Below are 23,480 nucleotides of genomic sequence, written 5' to 3' on the forward strand. Positions count from 1 at the left end.
GTTATAAATTTTTTTTAAACGGAATCCATTAAGGTCTGTGTCAGGGAGGAAAGTGCTTAAAAAATAAGGTTTTTCTCAAAAGAAAAACACTTCGGTTTGAAAACGTGGGAAGCAGCCTGACTGCCAGCATATGTCCTGCTCATCCCCTGCCTGGAGCTACCAGATTGATGGTGTTTTTAGAACACTGGCAGCCGGGCACTGAGAAGGGTGGAGACTGGGCCTTGGGAGGGGACAGTTGGGGATTCCCCTGTCCTTGTTGATGCTGCAGAGACCTAGGCCTAGCACCCAAGAAGGATAAATGACCTGGGGCTCTCAGAGTGACCAAAGTGATGGGACCCTCCCTTCTGTTGGGTGCCAGGGGCCCCGTGAAGCATCTCCCTGTTGGTTGAGAATGAAGTGCAAAGGGGATACCTCCCTTTAAGGAGTCCATCTTGGCTGCTGGTAGGGTGCTTCTGCTCTCTTCTAAAGCACAGGTTCCTCCCCGCTGCCCTCTAGCATGGGCTTACCACTTCCTTTACCTCCCTGCTCTGCCCTCTGAGAACTGATACTGTTTCCCTGTCTCCTGCTTAGCTGTGACATCACATCTTCTCAAGGAGGGCACAGCCCTGACTCTGGAGTCCAACAACTTTCCCTCCCTCCCTCCCTCCCTTCCTTCCTTCCTTCTTTCCTTCTGGCAGAGTCTCTCTGTCACCCTGGCTGGAGTGCAGTGGCACAATCTCGGCTCACTGCAACCTCCACTTCCCAGGTTCAAGCGATTCTCCTGCCTCAGCCTCCTGAGTAGCTGGGACTACAGGCATGCGCCACTACTCCTGACTAATTTTTTGTATTTTTAGTAGAAATGAAGTTTTGACATGTTGACCAGGCTGATCTCGAACTCCTGGGCTCAAGTGATCTTCCCGCCTTAGCCTCCCAAAGTCCTGGGATTACAGGCGGGAGCCACCAAACCTGGCCTGGAGTCCAACATCTTAAGAATTCCACCCCCATTTAGCTGCTTGCTGCCTCTGCATTGGGGGCTCCTCCAGACCCCCTTACACTTCTGATTCCTGCGTATCTGGAATTCCTCACTCCGTGTCAATGGACTTCTTCTTACCCAATATAAAGGCAGTGACTAGCTGATATCTATCTCAGAGCACACAGAAAGTGCTCCCCAGATGTGTGTTGAGAGAATGAGAGAATGTCTATAAAAGGAAAAGAGCTCATCCTTCAAAAGAGATTTTTAGGGTACACTAACATGAGTGAGGAGGTGGAGTTGGGGACACAGAGACATGATGGTTCACAGAAAGGCTGGACTTGACTGGGGTCCTTCTGTGCCAACTCCCAGGCCACTCCCCGCACTCCACTGCCCTCTCTGCCTTGTCCTGCTGCCAGTGGGGCCTCACTTCTCGCCTTCTTGCCACACCACTCACACTACTCCTACCTACTATTTGAAAAAATCTTCCACTATTTGAAAAATCTTTTTTAGCCAGACACGGTGGCCCACACCTGTAATCCCGGCATTTTTGGAGGCCAATATGGGCAGATCACTTGAGGTCAGGAGTTCAAGACCAGCGTGGCCGACATGATGAAACCCTGTCTCTACTAAAAAATACAAAAATAATTAGCCAGGCCTGGTGGCACGTGCCTGTAGTCCCAGGTATTCGGGAAGCTATGGTGGGAGAATCACTTGAACCCTCAAGGCAGAGGTTGCAGCAAGCTGAGATTACACCACTGCACTCCAACCTGGGTAACAGAGTGAGACCCTGACTCAAAAAAAAAAAAAAAATCGTTTTCCATTCAAAAAAGTATAAGTTCACTGCATAAAAATTGGAAAATATAGATCATAAAAGATTTTTAAAATGTGCATAATCTCATCACTATAAGAAAGTGAAATCTTTAAGAACAATATTTGTTCCCACTATTTGCCAATATTTTTAGATGTCACTAACCACAGGTTTTCACCATCTTTCTTGATGGGGTCATGATTTTCCATTTATGGATGCACTATAATTTATTGATCTGACCCCTTATTTTAGGGCTTTTAAGCTGTAATTAATTTTTTCTTGCTATAAACAATATTGCCATGAGTGCCCTCATAGTTAAATCTTTGAGCTATGTGTGATTATTTCATTTGTATAAATTCCATCAAAAGAGGAGCTTGAGCACCATTAGGCCATTTGCCTCTCTGGGTCCTACTTCTCCATCAAGCCCTGGGAAAGAGGGCAGGCCAGCACACAGCGACATCAGCCTTGCTGGTGTCTGGCTGCTGTGAACCTGCTCTGTCCCACTCCCCTCCATGCTGATCATTTCAAGGTTGTAAGAGCCTTGGAGAGTGAAGGACCAGGCCCTGCCCCTTCCCAGTCTCTGCCCACTGGTCCCTTACTTCCCTGTTAGCTGCATTATTGCCTCCTTCCCCAGAGTCCCCCCATGTCCAGTGTGTAGGCTCCAGAATGTCGGGTGTCTGTGGGGGCAGATCGACATGTTTATGCTGTTTCTCCTGGGGCTGGGCCGTGGACAGGAGGGGCCTGTCGGCTGCCTCCTCCACAACTCCTCCCATGTCCTTCCCTTGCCATTCTATTCTGAGGCAGGCAGGGCCAAGGAATAAGTTCAGCTGAGCCCCTGCTTCCTGGGTGACCTAAGAAAGGCAAGCACCTTCTCCAGCCTCAGTTTCCCCCTGTGTAAGGAAGTACAGTTGTTCCCAGCTAAACCTTCTCCCTCCTGCTTTCCCTCTTCTCTGCTCTCTCTGTCTTCCTCAGTGCTGCAGCATCGTACCTTTCCTGACCCCTCTGTTGGCTTAAAGCTAAGGAACCAGCCCATGGGGCTCTCAGCAGCTACTGGCTGTCCAGTTGGCCTGCTATAGAGGAGATGCAGGTAATGCTGCAGCTTCAGGGGCAGGAATCTCTGGTCAGAGGTCTGTTCCCTGTACCATTCCAAAGTCCAGAAGGCTCTTCTGGCCACTCTGCAGATTCCTGAGTCTGAAGATTGGTTTCTCTCCCACATAGACACAAATGTTGTTCCTCTAGCTTTGTCTGCAGGCCAGCGGTCAAGGGACAGACTTGGGGTGCAGATGCAGCTGCTGCAGGAAGAGCCAAATCAGTCCTAGTCTCTGAGTGAGACTCTCACCTTCTCTGCTCTGGACACTTCATACTGCCACTCCCAATATTCCCCCCAAAGTTATAGGGACAGGGAGCCCACTGCCAAAGTATTGGATTTCTAAAAGAGGACTCCAGAAAGAGGAAAATGTCTAGCCCTAGAGGATGAAGTGTAGAGGGCAGGCTTTCTGGGGTCAGCAGGACAGCAGGGACACAAGCGGACAACAGGTTGCAGTCTTTGACTCCTTGCACCCAACCCCGTGCCTGGCATCTAGTAGGGGCTCAGTGCTTATCTGTTGAATGAATGAGCAATCCCCAATCAATTGCCAGACACTTCTCTTCTAGATAGCTCTTGAATCTATCTACTTCTCTCTGTTCCCACTACCCTAATCCATTATCACCTTTTGTGGGCTGCTGAATCTTCCTGTAAATGTCCCCACTCCTCCAGTCCATTCATTTCCCAGCAACCAGTGTGATCCTTTAGAAACAAAATCTGATTCTGTTTCTTCCCAATTTCAAGCCTATCAAGTGGCTTCCGTGGACTTCAGGGTAAAGCCATGGGCCGAGTGGGTGACATGAGCTCAGGCTGCCCCTCCAAGCGCTCAGCCTCCTCACTTGCCTATGGATCCCACCCACCCCACACAGGAACTGTGCCTGAGCCTGAGCACTCAGGGCCCCTGAAGGCACTGTGCTCAGGTCCTTGACTGAGTCATTTTCATTCTCCAGGGCCTTTTCACAGGCTGCTCTCTCCACCTGGAAGCTTCTCTACCTTCTCTCACTAACTTACCTTACCTCTGCCTGTTATAGGGGGCTTATATCTTCTTTATGCCTTCACTTAGATGTCGCTTTCCCAAGGCTCTCCCAGAGTGGGTTAGGTCCCTACTGTGGCCCTTCTATGCCACCTCAATCCCATCCATTGGAATTTCCAGCTCAAAGTCTGTCTTCCTCCACCAGGATGTCAATTCCACGTGGGGAACATCTTTGTGTTTTTCCTCCATTGATATATCACAATGCCTAGCACACCTCCAAGTATATTATAGGTGGTCAATAAATACTTTCAAGTGAATTGTTGATGAAAACATTCAGCCTGGCTCCTTGTGGAAAACATCTTGAGGATATTTATTGAGGAGATACTATATTCCAGGAATTTTACATGTATTACACTGATCTTCACAATAGCTATGGGAAGGAAGTCACCTTAGCACCCCTTTTTACAAATGGGGGGCTGAGGGTCAAAGTTTAAATAACTTGCTTAAGATCACACAGCTAGAACGTGGAAGTTTTTCAGACTCCATGTTTGCATTCTTCCAGATGGCCTAGAGCAGTGGTCCTCAGACTAGAGCTATACCAGAATCGCCTGGTTGGCTTGATAAAATTCAGATTACTGAGTCACATCTCCAGATTTTCTGGTTCAGTAGGCCTGGAGGAGGATCTGAGATTCTGTGTTTCTATACGTTCCCAGGTGGCACTGATGCTATTTGTCTTAGTTCAAGTTGCTGTAACAAACACTGGGTGGCTTAAACAACAAACATTTATTTCTCACAGTTCTGAATACTAGGAAGTCCAAGATCAATGTGCCAGAAGATCCAGGGTCTGGTGAGGGCCCACTTCCTGGTTTGCAGATGACCATCTGCTCATTGTACACTTACAGGGCAGAAAGAAAGCTCTCTCGTATTTCTTCTTATTAGGCCATTAATCCCATTTATGAGGGCTCCACCCTCGTGACTTAATTACTCCACAGAGTCCTCACCTCCAAGTAGTATCATATTCGGGGCCAGGCACAATGGCTCATGCCTGTAGTGCCAGCACTTTGGGAGGCCAAGGGGGGCGGATCACGAGGTCGGGAGATCGAGACCATCCTGGCTAACACGGTGAAACCCCGTCTCTACTTAAAAAACAAAAGTTAGCCAGGTGTGGTGACACATGCCTGTAGTCCCAGCTACTTTGGAGGCTGAGGCAGGAGTATCGCTTGAACCCTGGAGGTGGAGGTTGCAGTGAGCTGAGATCATGCCACTGCACTCCAGCCTGGGCCACAGAGCAAGACTCTGTCTACAAAAAAAAAAAAAAAAAAAGAAAAAAAATTACATTCGGAATTAGGCTTCAACGTATGATTTTTTTTTCTTTGTTTTTTTTTTTTTTTTTTTGAGGGGCAACTTTTAGTCCATAGCACTGCTGACTTGGAGACCAATTTGAGAACCTGGCCTAGATCACTACAAAACACCTGGGCTTGCTTTATGGCTATCCTCACTCCCTAATCACTGACCTTGGACCAGGATTTTAGGATCCAGGCCTGGACTCTCTTCTGAGAGAAACCGATGCCTAGCACAGCCTCCTACAACCAGACAGGACCCTGGCTCTGAAGGTCTTGGCTACGCTCTGGGAACAGGCTGCCATCAGGACCTCAGTGTCTGTCCCTCTCCCTTGAGACACTGCTCTTCTGTTTGTCACCCTTCAGTCCTGACCAGTGATCTCCCCATTTTATCAAGGAAAAGCACCCCCACCCTGGCCCACCTCTTTAACAACTTCCATGCGGATGCATTCTAGGCTTGCTACTGCTACTGCTGTCTGAACAACTTAATAGCACAGTAAGTTACAGTCTCTTCTGTGTCATGGTGCCTGCAGCATTCATCAACTTCAGCAAGTGTCATCATGAGTGATACAAGTGTATGACACAGCTAAGTGTCTCCTCTGCACAGGCCATTACAGCTGGCAGCAGGCCCAGGGAGGCAAGAACTGGAGACTCATTTGGCTCCAAGTGCCCAGGATGATGTAGAAGTAAATGCGCTCCAGCCCTCCTCCCACCATGGCCCACATAGATGCTTCGTATTCTTGGCACCTTCTACAACTACTCTCAAAGTTTCCCCAGGTAAGCTAGGGATGGTCTTGGTGCAATCTTTTCCCTTTGCCTCATCCTCCCATCCTCCCTCTGTGCCAACTTTTACACATCCTTTGAGGCCCTGTGCACGAACCACCTCCTCTAGGCAGCCTTCCAACGGCAACCCACTCTCCCCTTCCTCTAAAGACCTCTGTCACAGAGCATCTCCACCTCTGCTGTAGAAATTTTATTGGTAAACACTTCACCCTGACCTGCTATGCTCAGCTCAGCTCCTTGGAATTGGAGGTTGTCATTCATATTTTTGTGTCCTCTGCAAGATTTTTAAATGTACTGGATGAGAATTTCTTTGATTACTAAAGTCATGTATATGTAATACAAAACATTGATAAAGTACAGAAACATAATAATAATGTCACCATTCCCAGATTTTATTTTCCATTTTGCTGAGTATGATATGTTTGAGTGTGTGTGTGTGTGTGTGTATAAAATGAAGTTCATAGTCTCATACTCTATAGTTTTAGACCACACTTTTATAATATTTTTCCAAGTCACAATTTTAACTGCTGTGCAATATTCCATTATATGAATGTTGCATGATTTATTTAGTCAATACCTTATCATCAGACTTTTAAGTTCCTCCCTCTCCCTTTCTCTCTTCTTTCTTTCTTCCCTATTATAAATAACACTGTGATGAACATCAATGAACATAAATCTTTTCCCACACCTGCTTGCTTTTTTTTTCTAGAATAAGTTTTTAGAAATAAGATCGTTGAATCAAAGCTTTCAATATTTTGAAGCTCTTAATACACATCAAATAACTCTCCCAGGAAATGATAAGAATCCACACTTTGACCGAGCATGTTGGCTTACTCCAGTAATCCCAACACTTTGGGAAGCCGAGGCGGATGGATCATTTGTGGTCAGGTGCTCAGAACAAGCCTGGCCAACACGGTAAAACCCCGTCTGTACTAAAAATACAAAAATTAGTTAGGTGGTAGTGGCGCTTTCCTGTAATCCCTGCTACTCGGGAGGCTGAGGCAGGAGAATTGCTTGACCCTGGGAGGCGGAGGTTGCGGTGAGCAGAGATCACGCCACTGCACTCCAGTCTGGGCAACAGAGTGAGACCCTGCCTCAAAAAAAAAAAAAAAAAAAAAAAAAAGGGAATCCACACTTTGTGTGGGAGTGCTCATTATCTCACATTCTCTAATATTAATATCATATTTGTTGTTGTTATTATTATTATCATCACAGCTTTTATCTTTTGTGTCTTATCACAGCAGTCCTTCAGTGAACACTCACTCAATTAGCCGTAGAATGTGTATGCCTATGTGTAAGTTTGTGCTAAGCGCTGGGGAAAGGGAAATACAAAGATGGCAACACCTATTATCCATCTTCAGAGAGCTTTCAAACTAGTACATTGGATGGATGGATGGATGGATGGACGGATGGATGGACGGATGGATGGATGGATGGATGGATGGAAGAATGGACAGATGGATGGGTGCTTGGGAAATATTTCCTTGCCATCAGTTTTCTCAACACATTGCCATGAATATAAGGGGAAATGGGAGCTCCCATAAGGCTTTGAGTCCCAGTGGAATGTCCTGGGGCTGTTCAGGAAAACCCATTCTGGGAAAGCAAAGACTGCTTTTGAGAATAGACAGAGGAATCCCAGTGCAGAAACCTCATGCCACTTCCTTCTAGGGAGTTTCACCAGGCCTGAAATTTCAGAGCTGGGAACCTATTTGTTCAGCCACCAGTAATGTGAAAGTAATGGAGACATTTGGCCACAGAAGTGACTTTAAATAGTGGCCCAATGTGGGGCCACAGGACCTATGGAAGGAGCTATGCAGAGCTGTTTGCATGACCCACAGGAATTTCTTGCCCACCAACACCACACCTATCACACAATTCTTAGCAGCTTCTGAGAGAGGCTTTTCTGCCTCTCTTACAGAATGAGAACAAAGCGTAAGATAAAGGAAGGGGAGGTTGTAGGAGCAATGAACTCTGGGCTGCGAACCTCCTTCTTCCTGGCCAGAAGCATGTACCTTGCCTCTCTCCCAGTTGCCCCATGAGGCAGGCTGACTTCCCTGAGCCAGCTGCTGAGCTGCACCTGCCTTGAGAAAAAGGCACCCAGTTCTTAAGCAGGGGATGAATATTCATTGGCATGAACCTTTGCAAACTCATTTGGGGAAAAAAATAGATCAGAAGAAGTAATCAGATTATTAAAAAGAAAGAGCAAGGACAGAAGGTGGCAGTGGAGGGAAGAATCACATTTAAAATGCAAGGAGAGACTTCCTCCCTGCGGTGTAGCTCTGACCCCCTAGACCATGCGCTGAGAATAGTTAAGCTCTCCCACATTTATGCTGCATAAAAATGTTGTTTTTGAGGCCTCATCTGAGAGGGGGAAGGGCAGAGGTAACACGCACCCTCCACATCTGAAAATTATAAAATAATATTTTGAGGTCTCCATTTTATCTTCCTTTGATATCAAGAAAAATTGTGAGAGCTAAAGAGGCTCTGGTGAGTGCTGAGTGACAGGTTAAAGGGCTCCAATAAAGATTAGATGGTCCACTATCTCCTGAGGAAATTGCATAAAAGTGGTTATTCCCTCTTGCTTCTATTAATTTCCTCTTCCTGGCTGCTTGGAAATGCTTTGTAACCTGATGCTGCAGATGGGGATGAGAAGCGCTTTCCATTATCTCAATCACTGCACTGTTTATGAGACACTTAATCTGTTTCTTTATAAAGTAATAGTACTGTGGGTGATGGACTCAGTGTCACTGGAAGTCTGTGTGCAGGGACAGGAGGAGAGGAGTGTCTCGAGAGTATGGTAAGCAGAAGGTCATTTGTCATATCACTGAGGTGCTGAGAAGTTGGGTGGGTGTTTCAAGGTGACCTTCTGGATACCAGCCAGAGGTGACATGCACCTATCCCTTGGCACTTGAACAGGGAGGCAAATGTGTGTTTTGTCTGTTGAATGGAAAATATATACACGTTTAGGCATGGGGTGCTCAGATCTTGTCTCCTCCCCTTTTCTGAAGTTGGGGGTGGGGAAAGAGATGTGTGGTGAGGTCGGGGAGAGGGGTGCCATCAAAAAGCCTCGGCTATGCAAGTTTCTAGGCCTTCTGTCTGAACTGCAATCACTTACAATGGAGGAAAGGGAACCCCTTTCTCTTAAGGAAACAAGGCAATTGTAGGCTGCACTGGTGTTAGAAATGTCCAGCCCTCCAAGTTACCTTGTCCCATTGACAAAGGTCTTAATGCGAATACACAGCAAGGTGTCGGCGGCTCTTCTCTTTCTACCCACCTCCTGGAAATGTAATGGAACTCTCCCCTGCAAAGTCCAAAGCTGGGCACTTTATGACCTAATTTCCGTTCCTACTTCTCCTGTTCTTCCACCTCTTTTCTTCTCCCTTTGTCTTTTCCTCTTCTTCTGAATTTCATCTCCTAACCATCACAATAAACTGTTTAATCACCATTGCCAAGAAATGACACTTTTTTTTTTTAATGCGACACAGTCTCACTCTGTCACCCAGGCTGGAGTGCAGTGGCGCGATCTTGGCTCACTGCAACCTCTGCGTCCTGGGTTCAAGCGATTCTCCTGCCTCAGCATCCTGAGTAGCTGGGATTACAGGCACATGCCATGACGCCCAGCTAATTTTTTTTTTTTTGTATTTTTAGTAGAGACAGGGTTTCACCATGTTGGCCAGGCTGGTCTCAAACTTCTGATCTCAGGTGATCCACCCGCCTCGGCCTCCCAAAGTGTTGGGATTACAAGTGTAAGCCACCACGCCTGGCCTGAAGTGACACTTTTAACCATTGTTTAAAGCATGAATTCTATGAGAAAGTATAGCATAAGTGTGGTTACAAATTACAAGCTAAAAGGTTAATAAATGAACTCAGGAATACTACTTCTTTTATAAAGTTTCTTGTGACTCTCATCTTATAAGGAGACTCTGCAAAAGGTGTACATCCATCCACCTGGTCCCCTGTGTGCACACAAGCATAGCACAGATCCTGCTGTATCAGAAGCAGCATTCCATTGTCCACCTCCCTCACCAGGAAGGGAGCTTCCTAATGTTGGCTACCCCATCTGCACCCTGCTCTATTCCCCTAGCCTGGTGCCTGGCTAGAAGTCAATCCACAATAAATATTTGTTGAATGAGGGGCTCCCAACTGCAGCAGTAGTGCTGACCGTAATTCTGTAAAGGAACTCCTGAGTTTTGAAATGATACGAAAGCAGAGAACTCTGTTATTTACCTTAAGTTGCCTGAAAGTGCTGAAATGTGTTTGGTTAGGCTACCGCTGTATTTAATTATTATTGTTTAAAATTGTACAGTCTTTATGCAGGTGAGCAGTCTCCAGGCTGCCAGGGTCTCCACCACTCTGCACTGTGTGACTCCCGGCTGCTTTATATTCTCAAGTGACTGACCTGGCTCCAAAGGCCATTTGCTTTTGCTTCTCATGGCCTGAATATTCTTCATCAGAAGCCACCCAGAAGCTTTATTTATCAACCCAAGTTAAAGCTGCTTTTTCTCAAGTGACAGCGTAGTTTTCTTATTTATTTTTCTATGTTAAATTTCTAGTGAAAAAATATTGTTAACTTTTGTTTCTGATTAATGGCACCTGATACAAGATAAGTTAAAAGGGCTTTGTGGATTAGCCTGGCACTTTCACCCTTGTTTTAAGCATGAATTCTATGAGAAAGTATAGCACAACAATGTAAAAGTTTAATAAATTACTGAGCATATACCCAAAAGATTATAAATCATTCTACTATAAAGACACATGCACACGTATGTTTATTGTAGCACTATTTACAATAGCAAAGACTTGGAACCAACCCAAATGCCCATCAATGATAGACTGGATAAAGAAAAGTGGCACATATACACCATGGAATACCTTGCAGCCATAAAAAGAATGAGTTCATGCCCTTTGCAGGGACATGGATGAAGCTGGAAACCATCATTCTCAGCAAACTAACACAGAAACAGAAAACCAAACAACATATGTTCTCACTCATAAGTAGGAGTTGAACAATGAGAACACATGGACACAGGGAAGGGAACGTCACACCCTGGGGCCTGTTGGGGGGTGGGGGCAAGGGGAAGGATAGCATTAGGACAAATACCTAATGCATGCAGGGCTTAAAACCTAGATGATGGGTTGATAGGTGCAGCAAACCACAATGGCACATGTATCCCTATGTAACAAACCTGCACGTTCTGCACATGTATCCCACAACTTAAAGTAAAAAAAAGAAAAAAGAAAAAAAAATCTTTAATAAATGAATTTAGGAATGCTGCTTCTTATATAAATTAAGGCATGCCTAGACAGATTTTATGAAAGTATTAAGTTATAAAGTCTGAGTATTAAGGAGATTCATACATTTTGTAATTATATGTAAAATATATTTTGTAGATATGATTCACCCATTATACATAACAGAAATAATATATGTAGAAACACATTCTTCCATTGGGTTCCAGGATTTATTTGCCCACTTTGGGACTTGAAATTTATATTCTGACCCTGAATTCTAAAAGTCCCTGCAAAGAAACCTTGCTTTTGTTTTTTAAAGGAGTGGGTAAGTTGGGATGGAGAGGAGTTAGCATTATTTAGCACACATTGATGCTAGCGACATTTCATATTTGAGTTTATTAATTTCTAATAATCTGTGGGAGTTATTGTGAGAAATTTACAGTTCTTTTTCATACACCTTTTATGCAGATGAGCAAATTGAGGCTCTGAGGGATGATATAACTTGCCAGTGTTCACCAAGCTAGGAGCTGGCAGAGCCAAGAATTGAACTCAGGACTGTCTGACCATTTCCAAATGCTTGTTTCTCCGGGGAGAATGGAATCAGACCCCCTCCTGGAACCTCTCTCTTCAACCACTCCCCAAGCTTCTCTCCCTGATGTCCAGCTTGGACCTCCTCCCCTCCACTTCCTCCTCTCATGGACACCTTGGAATTCAGAGACTCAGTCACCCAGAGCTACTGTCCTCCATCAGAAACCTCAGAGGAGGCACTTTCCACATCCCCCTGCCACTTGTGGATATCAGGACAATTGTTTATGCTGTTAACTTATTAAATGTAAAGTGAGGAGGCTTTTACGTGCTGGAAAGAAAGGGAAAACACCTTGTTCTTGTTGGACTGGTACATTAAGAAAATTACAGCATGGCAGGGGCCAAATATGAATGCTTGAGTCATCACCTCTACCCCTCCCCCACTCTCCAGAGACAGAGCTCCTGCCGAGTCCAGGCAGCACAGGCCTGGGATTTGTCTGTATTCACTGGCTGCAGAACTGAATGGGGCCAGGAAGGCTGGGGATTTATTAGGAAAAGAGCCAAGTGTTTCTCACAGGAGATGAGGAGAGATATGGAAAGAAGAAAAGGAAAGAGGGAGAAATACAGAGAGAGGGACCGTAATGAGTGGGCTGGGAAAGATGGATTAGTAAGCCAGAGTCTCCTCGGATACTTTTGCCATTCAGAGCTTCTCCCTTTCATGTTTGATGTGTTAGATCTTTAATAAAGACTCAAACAGTACTTTTTTTCTTTCTACAGAGAAGTTTCTTCTGAATGTGCTGAGATGAGTCAGGAAGTGGTCCCTTTTTACATGGTTCGCAACTGACATTGTTTCCCCAAACCTGGGAAACAACATTCACTCCAGTGTCTTCCCCGATCCCAGGGGATGCTCTGCAAAGTAAGGCTTCTTGGTGAAAAAACATAGCATTTTAAAAAGTTTTAAAAGTTCTCAACAAAGAATAAGATGAACTTTTAAAATCAGCATTTCAAAATATCTGGCCACAGTACCCTTTTGTCATAGGTGTTAACAATCCAAAGAACGTGGATCCCATGGGACACATTTGGGTTGTGCCATTCCAGAACATTGTGTTTTGGAGATTCCTTCCTGTCCAAAATGGCACCCCACCCAGCACATGTCTGGAGAAACTGAAACCTTTTCCTCACCTTAAGTGATCAATGGAGTGAGATAACTTTCACAGCATAGGAAACAATTCTTTCTTCTTGTCTTAGCAGAAAAGCAGTGGATATTTTTCAAATAGTTTATGCGTACATCATCACTATCATTTCTCCCACTGTGTGATCCTTGGTAACTTTTGTAACCTCTCCGTGTCCCAGTTTCCTCATTAGCAAAATGGAGATAGTAATAGCTACCCCATAGAGTAATGCATGGAAAGCACTTAACAAGACAAGTTAACAGATGGTGGCTACTGCTATTATTAAAGAATATGCTGCACTTTCCAGGAGGGAACAATACATTTGAGATTAGCTTTCTATAAGTAGAAACCATTATAATGGCACTTCAATTATATGATGATCACATTGTATTAGATTTATATGACTTCATTGGATCAAGAGCTCCTTGAAGGCAGGCTCTATTCTTGAATTCCCTATGTCATGTTTTCAGCAGGAACAGTAAATGTTTGTTGAATGAAGTAATGAGGTGTGTAAGAAAGCCAAACAAGTTGACCAGTCAGTAGGTTTTACCCAGTCTCAAAGGAGGATGAGCCAGAGTAGGTTTCATGGGGACAGGAAGAGTGGGGGCTGAGATAATAAGGAAGGGCCTTGGGGAAGTAGGGTAGGCAGAATCAATCTTGTGAGGGATCAACAAGGAAGAGACCAGATGTCTGGGCTCAAAAGTCTTTACAGATGAGACAAAGTTAAGACCCGAGGGATAGCTTGGAGCCAGACTTTTCAGAGAATGACTCATTATAGGCTGATCCCACAGGAAATTAAGAGGATGTGCTGCACATATGAGGGCCCCTCCAGTGGAGATCAGGTAGTATCAGGTGTTCCCAACCTTCCCCACTGCCATGTGCATGATAGATGACACCAAGTGTGTGACACGTTCCCTGGTGTGCTGTCTGCAAAGTCATCCTTTCCTTGCCCCACCCCCGGAAGCATATCAAAATGCAATTAAAGGAGAATGATGTTGTTAAGGCATTAACCTTGAAATCACCCTAATTTAGTTTTAAAGAATCACTTATGAATTTCAGCCCTTTGCCATCATTCATAGCAAGAGCTTGTTAATACATCTCATAGTGTGTTCCTCATGTGTGCTGCAACATGGCATTGAAAAACCGTGGGTCCAACATGTCATTGAAAAACCTGGGACCCCTTTCTAACTGAGGCCATAGGATGAGATGTCTTTAGTGAGTGGCTCAGGGAAAGGCCATGGATGTTAACCAGGTAGACAGAAGAGGGAGTAACCATTTATAGAGCACTTATGTCCCAGGAACTGAGCTACACTTTAGATTTGTTTTCTCAATTAAATCTCTTGACACACCTGGAAGGGAAGAATTATTATCCATTTTGTTCAAGTGAGAGAGGTCATTGGTACCAAGAAGATATATTTCACAAAGGATTTTTGAAGAATTGGAAGTGTTAAATATGGGTTTCCTCAACCTTAGATCTCCCTTGGTACGAGAGGGGCATCTCAATGTTCTTTTTAGAGAGGAAGACACTCCTTTTCCGGTTGTAGGGAAGAGTTTCTGGCTGCCACACTTCCATTAATTATCACATGGTCTCTTTGTGTTCTAGCTTGCCCTGCAGGGACATTCAAGGCCAGCCAGGAAGCTGAAGGCTGCTCCCACTGCCCCTCCAACAGCCGCTCCCCTGCAGAGGCGTCTCCCATCTGCACCTGTCGGACCGGTTATTACCGAGCGGACTTTGACCCTCCAGAAGTGGCATGCACTAGTAAGTGTCTAGTAATGGCTCTGGGCTGGGGAGTTTGGTTCCCTGATGGTGCAAGTGGTGGGTCTGGGGCAAGGAAGAGAAGACATCATCCTTTGATCCCAGGGCAAAGCAGAATTGCTGGCCATGGTGCTGAAACATACAACTCCTATGCTCGGAGTTCAGAGGCCTTGTCCCTACGTAGCACTGGGTGAAGATTACATTTTTTCTTTCTTCCCCCTTCTTCCCATATAAGAGGACCTTCTCCCACCCCAGCAAGATAACTTCTGTTCATCAGATGTCAGACTGGAGAGTTCTTTGGATGCAAAATCATGATCTATTATCACTTCCTCCAAGAAGTCCCTCCTGGTGCCTATAGCTGAGAATCTCCTATCTCTTTGCTGGGTTTCCTGTATATTTGTAACCAGACTCCCCTCAGAGTGCTCATCATTTTATTAATTGTTCAGTCATTCTGTACTTATCTCAGTTACCAAATGAAGACTATTGTGTGCCAGGACCATATATTCATCTTCTTGTGTCCCTTCAAATGCCCAGCCTGATGTAGCATTTGTGCTCCTGTCAAATGACAAGACCAGTGGCCTGACCACAGAATGCATCTCCAAGGCAGAAATTCTAGGGACCGGAGCTAATGCATTGGCTACATCACTCTCCCATTATATAATATAGAGGGAAGAGCAGTCTCCCTGCCAAAAACGGGGAAAGGCAGCTACACTCTCTGGATAGGGATGTGAGAAGGGGTGCATTTCTCCCAATATTCTCCCCAATAATTGTGGAAGGAGGCAATCACTACTGTCCCTGCACAGTACTTTGGATAATTTGCTCCTACTCCTCTGAGCATTGTAGCCCTGAAATGTGGATGACCTCTCTTTTAAGTATCCCATTGTATTTGGGAGTCAGTGCTCCAGGTTAGCCTCTAATGTGTTAGAATTTTCTTCTTCATTGGATAATGCTTCCTGGCTCCCTGTGAGCAGGGACCTTTCTTTACACCTGCTTGGACCAAATCCCTTCCATCCATCCCCATCACAGAAGAATATTTCATTTATACTTTCTGTTTGATGAACAGAAAAAGTGACTGGACTCTTAGTAGAAGAATTACTTAATTCCAGCCTTGTAGTGTATGTAACCTTTACTGAGTAAAGAGGGGGAATGAAAGTACCTTCTAGATCAAGTTCCTGAGTTCAATCAATGTGTATAGATTTGAACTGAGGAAAAGCTCATCCTGTTGTAAACTGATTTTCTACAGACCTCTCTCTCTGTGGGTTAATATTAACAAAAATGATTGTTTCTGCTGACCAGAAGTCCTGTTTTTCTGTTGTGCTATCTCCTCCACTGATTTCTGAGGTTGCCCTGGGGGTCTTCAATAAGCCCAAAAAGCATTGTTTAATGTACTTCTTTAGAAATCACTTAAGGATGCTGAATCACTGCTCCCTGGATGTTCAGACCAAAGACTAGTCTCCATGATTGCCGAAGTATACGCCCAGGGACTCACAGTATTCCTCCTGAAAACGCTCCTTTCCATTCCTTCTCATTAACCCCTCAGGTGCACCTGGAAGTCTGGAGGGGCCTCAGGTTTAGTGTGCAGCCGTTGACTTTAAATGGATTATATCAGTAGTCACATTCATTCACTGGCAGTATTGGAAAGTTTATAAAGAGTTTTAGAAATTTAAAATGTGTCATTTGACAAGGCTATAAAACATATAGTGCACTAAGAATTAATATTTTTAATGAATCCTGTTAATCTCTTGGGGCTGGCACACATGTAGTCATTGTATTTTTGTAGTGCTACAAGTGTTAATTTATTTCATGTAAACATTTGCAATGCATGTTACCTTTTGCAGCCCTGTTTAGGCATTTGTTTCTTTTATTTTTAATCTACTGGGAGACCCAGGGACCCCTCCACCCTTGACCTCTGAGATGCCTCTGTGTGTCCAGCCTTGTCCTTGAATTTTGTCAGTGGACTGCACAGGGATGCAGGTGCACCTCAAGGTGTCAAAGGGGCTGGTGTGGTCTCCAAATGAAGTCAGAGGAGGGTGGCTTAGAGAGCTCTGTGTTTTGAGTCTGCAGTCACATCACTGCTGCTGGTCTCTGGACGACTAGCTCCCTTCTTCCTTCTTTTCTCTCCCCCCTTCACTTCTACCCAGGCCTGCAGCTCTAGATCTTCCCAGTACTTGCTCATATCCAAGAAGATGCCTCTTCCCTCAAACCTAGGCCAGGTATGGAATGAGGTGGGAGCTTAGGGGATAGCTAGAGGCAGGTGACAAGTGACTCCTCACCACTCCCTGCTCACGAAACTCCCTGAATAAAGACAGACTACCAGGACAGTGGGAATCACCTTCAGTGAGGAGTTACTGAAGGGCTACTGACAGTAAGGGGAGGGGGTCATATGAAAAGACAATGGGAGGGAACAAGGGGAAGGTGCAGCCCCACCAGCAGGGAGGGGTTGCGAAGGTTATGGACTGAGGAACCAGCTCTGAGCTTTGGGCTTGCTGTGCTTCTGCTGAAAAAGCCGCTGCCTTCCTCCCTGTAGTGCTCCCTGAGGCACTGCCCAGAAGCCCTCAGTTTACCTGGTGAATCCTGGCATCCCCAAACTGCCTCAGTCTTGAGTGGGTTCTGGGAAAGCTCATAGAATCATTGATTTCATTTAGTGGGTGGAAGATGGGCTTTGGCACTTCAGAGACAAAAGTTTCAAACTTGATTCTGTCTCTTGCCTTCTCTGTGACCTTGGTCTAAATCCTTGGTCTAAGCTTTCTTACATTCTGTCATTTTATTCTCACGACTTCATAATAATGTATGCTTTTCTGAGTTATTATGAGGATTCAGCCAAATAGTATTGTAGAGTCCTTGGCACAGTGCCTGGTTCATAGTAAACTCTCAATCGATGTTAGAACTTGCTTTGGTTACATCCCTGGAAAGTGTGAAGATTGCAGCAGATATTGAAGCTTCCAGCATGAGAGGATGTTGGATATCTGAAAATAAAAGTGATGTTGTTGGGGGAGCCCAGGCTTGACGCCATCACCGAGCATCACAGCAGAATCCATGATATGGTCCCAAACCACACAGTCGCCTTGGCCTAAAGAACCTGCTGAAAACAAATGAGAAGGTGACTGCCCTACCCTGCGACCTGGTGTGCAGTGGGAGAAGGAAGGAGGCACAGGCAGAGCTTCTGAGAAGCTGCCGAGCTCGCTGTCCCTGGATGAGAGGTGCCAAGAAGCTGGGCAGGAGCAATGGCTCACAATACTGGCTTTCAATTCCCAGGCAGCAGCGGCCTAGCAGCTCCTCACACTGAGACACACTTCCTTCCACAGGAGGGCCAGATGGCAAGGGAGACATGGTGGGGTCAGCCGGGCAGAGGGACAGCCAGGAACACACTCGGAGGTGAACAGCAATGTGAAACCCCGCACCATGTTGCAGGGCTTGGCTTCTGTTTTAAATAATTTCTAGTTTACTGGGGGACGAAATGGAAAGGAGGAATTTATGAAGCAGGTGAAAACAGATAATTATGCCTTATAAAATTGCTGCCTGTGAAAAACTATACAGAAGGACTGGTGTGAAAATAATTACCTTGTTACATTGCTGACCACAAAAACCCCTTTTCTGTCACTCACATGGAAGAAATTTTGATGGATCACAGAGGCAAGCTAGTGCTTGCCTTGTTTCTTTTATTTCTTCTTCAAATGCAATGGGCTTCCCTCTGCAGTTTTGATCATAGAAATGGAATGAAAAAGGGGTCATTGTGTCCCTTGAGCCCACCAGCCGACCCCTTAGATGAGGGACACAGTGCCTGCCAGTCTTTCGGGGTTTCCCTGGAGGCCATCCCTGTCCTCCCTCCTGACTGCCACTGAGAGGCAGGGAAGCTTAGTGGCAGGGGCAGGGGTTTTGAGTTTGGCTCCTGACGGTAAGACCTGGGGCAAGTTACTTAGCCTTTTGGAACACGAGCTTCCTTCTGGATAAAATTGGGTATGCTGGAACTCAAATTACGAGGTTGTGAGAATTAAAAGCCAGCAAGCAAATGAAGCTCCAGGATGAAAACTCAGGTCTGTCTGACTCTAATTCCATGACCTCAGTGATGTTGCAAACCATCGTGGCGATGATGGTGATTGGCTGTTATTCTCACTCATGAATCTACCTTGCTTAGAGAAGGATAAGAATCTGCTCTTCCTTCTCCCATTCCTGCATAGTCTGGTTTCTCTCCTTTAAGTTCATGTTTCATCTTTTAAGGTGCTGGCAGTTGTTTCCCTCTTTTATCCCAGGCACGACAGGGCAGTGGTGGGGTGGGGGGGTGGTGTCCCTGTGGCATAAGGATCATGTCCCTTGGACAGACTGCCCAGGAGTGGGACATTCCCAGGGCCTAGACCCTGATCTTCCCAGGGAAGCAGGGTGGATGGAGAAGAGTGCATAGGGTTTAGAGGGTAGAAATGGCTTTGGTATGACAGAAACAGAATGACGTCCTCTGCAGGTGGCCTCTGCAGCCAGGTTTGGTGGCCATAGAGCATTGTGGGTCTGTAAGGACATGAGCTTATAAGCCCTCTGGTCTTGGGCACAGGATCTGCTGCATCATGCTCAATAAGATCCCCACTGATGGTTTCCTTTAGGTCAGTGGTTTTAAAATGCAGTCCCTGGACAAGCAGCCTCCGTGTCACCTAGGAACTTACTAAAATTAAAAATTCTCAGCCCCAACCCGGAGCCACTGAATGAGAAGCTCTGGAGGTGGAGCCCAGTGATCAGAGTTTTAACAAGCCCTGCAAGTAACTCTGAAGGCTGTGAAAGTTTGGAAACATTGCTTTAGAGTTGGGTCATATTCCTCTGTCCTTTGCTTTATGACTTCTGAGGAGAAAGGCCATTGGGTGAATTCTCACAGACTGGAACCACAGGGCCTTCCCCTCCCCATCAATGTCCTGTGTGCCAGGCTAGAAAGCTGCAGGGAGGGGGGCTGTGAATATGTATGTGAGAGAGAGGAGGGGTGGGGTCTGATGTGAGTGTGAATGTACGAGCGCATCTGTGTTTATTTGAGTGGTTCAAGGGAGGGTCTCACTACTTCTCAGAATAATCCCCACCTGTTCTGGCTCAATTTCTATTTCATTTTCACTCTTTTTTTTTGAGATGGAGTCTCACTCTGTCACCCAGGCTGGACTGCAGTGGCGTGATCTCAGCTCGCTGCAACCTCCACCTCCCAGGTTCAAGCGATTCTCCTGCCTCAGCCTCCCGAGTAGCTGGGATTACAGGTGCTCGCCACCAGACCCGGCTAATTTTTGTATTTTTAGTAGAGATGGGGTTTCACCATGTTGGTCAGGCTGGTCTCGAACTCCTGACCTTGTGATCTGCCCGCCTCAGCCTCCCAAAGTGCTGGGATTATAGGCGTGAGCCACCGCGCCCAGCCCATTTTCACTCTTGAGTGGTCAGAGCAGTGTGAAGACCTGCAAAGGACATCGTTAGCTGGGGCTGGGAGCAGTGACCAGGGAGAGAAGCGAATGGAAACCAGGAAGCACAACGTGGCTGGAGTGAGCTCAGCGGGGGCTGAAGGAGAAACTGAAACAGAAGGAAAGTGACTGATGGGCACCATTTGCCTGAATTCAGATAGAGGATCCAGAGGGTAGCCAGTGTAAATGGGTGATGGGCCCCAGCTCACCTAGGAGGAAATCAGACCAAGAGGAAAACTCTGAGGCTGCTGCTGCAGGGAGGAGCTCTTCAGGCCAATAGGGCAATAAGCATTCCACATGAGACAGGAATCTAGTGTTGTAAATTGGGGACTGCTTGCTTGTCTGCATGTCTACACAATGAGGGTGATTTTTTTTTAATTTTATTATTATTATACTTTAAGTTTTAGGGTACATGTGCACAACGTGCAGGTTTGTTACATATACATGTGCCATGTTGGTCTGCTGCACCCATTAACTTGTCATTTAGCATTAGGTATATCTCCTAATGCTATCCCTCCCCCCTCCCCCCACCCCACAACAGTCCCCAGTGTGTGATATTCCCCTTCCTGTGTCCATGTGTTCTCACTGTTCAATTCCGACCTCTGAGTGAGGACATGCGGTGTTTGGTTTTTTGTCCTTGTGATAGTTTGCTGAGAATGATGGTTTCCAGTTTCATCCATGTCCCTACAAAGGACATGAACTCATCATTTTTTATGGCTGCATAGTATTCCATGGTGTATATGTGCCACATTTTCTTAATCCAGTCTATCATTGATGGACATTTGGGTTGGTTCCAAGTCTTTGCTATTGTGAATTTTAAACAGTTTTCAAAAGTCGACCTTTTGACAAGTGTTTACTTGGGTTAATCTAGGGCTTGCAAAATGGTAAAAGAAGGCTGCTTTGCTCCAGCTGAGCTTTACCCATCGCTGACCAGGGCTTTAGTGTAAGTCACCCTGTGTGTTCTATTTGATAGGTAAAGAGACTGATATTACCCCGATATGTAATCCATGTTGCCCGTTAAAAAATACATTTGTGTTTTTGAAGGGGAGGTAGTCTGTGTTCTCCTTGAGGTGAACTTCAGACAAAGGTCAAAGATCAATAAGAGTCAGAGGGCAGGCCTAGATTTGGGTCCCCGCCCCATGCTGGCCCCCGCCCCATGCTGGTAGATGGTCTATACATCTGGATGCAAAAGAAAGGAGTGTGACTGCAAGCTGGAAGCTATCTATAACTGTCACTGCCACATCAGGAAGGGTCAGCGTTGCCTGTGTAAATGTGCTTTCACACTTCTGTAATCTACAATTTCTTTTCATAGTTGTTTGACCCAAGTGAGTATAACCTTTTTGAGGAATTGTATAGCTCTAAGTTTTAAGCTAAAAGCCAGGCACACAAGCTAACATGTTTGTTTCAGAATTTCACAAGAGCATTTGGAGTCACAGATTGTTGACACTCTGAGCACTGCCACCCCAAATCCTCCCAATGTTAGCCTTCTCCCTCCAGTAACCCCGAGAGGCAGAGGCGGTCATGCCACTTTTATTGTTCTGAGCATTTGTCATGACAGCTCGTGTCTTGTGCAGGGCAGCGTCACTCCATTGCCAACAGCAGTAACCCATCGCTGGGGGAGAGGCCTTCTGGACTTCAGATTAGGCACTCCTTCCTCACTCCTGGCCATTGGTCGGTCCTTAAGGACCAATGCTCAGCAGGCCAGTGATTTTAATGCTTAAGGACAATGTTCCCATCTTTTTAAAATTATCTCCTTGAGGCTAAACACTTGTTGCTTTAACTGTTCCCCAAATCTCCTGACCCATGCCCCTGCCCCTCTGCCATTTGTCCAGGCTCCTGGCTGGCCTTTTCTGAATCTCTCACATTTATCGATAAGGCTCTTAAAATATAGCAGCCAGAATGAGACTTGTGATCCTCACTCCAGAGCAAGGTTCAGTAGAAAAGTCATGGATTTTCCTTGTGATTGGGATATTGCAACCTTGTGTTCACTTTGGTTGCAGTCACTGAAACTGTGAGCTCCCACCACATGTGGCAGCCACTAAACAGCCAGTGCTTTTGTTTGTCCCCTCAGGAAATGCTGTCTGTTTGGGTCTCCCCTATGTGCACTTATCAGTACGATTTCAGACATTTTACCTTGTGGATTTAGGCACAGTGCACTTTCACGTACAGATCATTTTAAATACTGATTTTTATCATCTTTCAAATAAGCAGTGTTAGTATAATTGCTAAGAGTGTGGGCTCTGGAGCCTGTGCCCAGGTTCAAGTCCTGCTCTACTACTGAACAGTGATGTGGGGCAAGTGACAAAGCTTTTCTGTCTTCATTTCCTATTCCATAAAATGGGGATAATATTGGAATCTGCCTCACTGCACTGTTGTGGGAATTAAATGCAATATACTATTTAGGTTGGGCACAGTGGCTCACACCTGTAATCCCAGCACTTTGGGAGGCCAAGGCAGGCAAATCATGAGGTCAGGAGTTCGAGACCAGCCTGGCCAATATGGTGAAACCCTGTCTCTACTAAAAAAAAAAAAAAAAAAAAAAAAAAAAATACAAAAATTAGCCGGGCGTGGTGGCATGTTCCTGTAGTCCCAGCTACTCGGAGGCTGAGGCAGAAGAATTGCTTGAACCTGGGAGGCAGAGGTTGCAGTGAGCCAAGATCGTGTCACTGCACTCCAGCCTGGATGATAGAGCAAGACTCTGTCTCAGATAGATAAATAAATAAATAAATAAATAAATAAATAAATAAATAAAACAATATTTGGCATACAGGAATAATTCAATAAAAGTAAGCTATTTGATTTTATTACTATTATCAGAGTTGTCTACCCTACTTTGATGTAATTTTCAAAGCAGCTAAAATCCAAGCACAGGCACTATTATTTAGTTAACATTTCTTCCTTCAATATACAAGTATTTGTATACTTTTAGAAGTTACTCTTGTGGAAATCTAGGTTTACTCTATACTCTATACTCTTTTTCTTCACAGGCTAATAAATTTTTAGAGAAAGAAAGAATGTTGACTGGCCTGACTTACACATAGAGAACACACACAAGTTCTTGTCGGTCCTTCCTTGAGGCTCACAAAGCACTGATTTACTTGTGAAGTTCCAGAAGGAGGGGATTAACGTGAAGTGCATCCATGTAATCTACTCCCTTCTCTATTTTAAAACTCAGAACAAAGCTGTCCTCTCCATGACTTTAGGGTCCCCTCTTGCCAGGAATGCTCCTTTGTGGTCTCAGGCAATTGTCTTGGTGTCAAATTTATAGGTTCTGGTCCAAGGCAGAACTGGCCTGGAATGGATGCCGGAACTTAATTGTTGCCACAGCTCAGCTTCTTCAATATTCTCTGCTCCAATTGTTCACCTCTAAGGCGAAGGCAGTCAGGAGTGAGTGGCTGTGCGTCCTCTGTCCTCTGCCAGCCTCTCACCTCCTCCCCC

General features: G+C 45.4%; 1 protein-coding gene across 1 annotated transcript in view; it reads left to right on the forward strand.

Annotated features, from left to right (window-relative positions):
• The window catches only part of EPHB1 (EPH receptor B1), a 465,208-nt gene that overhangs the window by 296,716 nt on the left and 145,012 nt on the right, over positions 1–23,480 (forward strand). Inside the window, exon 4 of the mRNA NM_004441.5 lies at positions 14,473–14,628. Within this exon, the coding sequence (NP_004432.1) occupies positions 14,473–14,628 (156 nt within the window). The remainder of the gene's footprint in view (positions 1–14,472; positions 14,629–23,480) is intronic.

This window comes from Homo sapiens, chromosome 3, assembly GCF_000001405.40.
Source record: "Homo sapiens chromosome 3, GRCh38.p14 Primary Assembly".
NCBI lineage: Eukaryota > Metazoa > Chordata > Mammalia > Primates > Hominidae > Homo > Homo sapiens.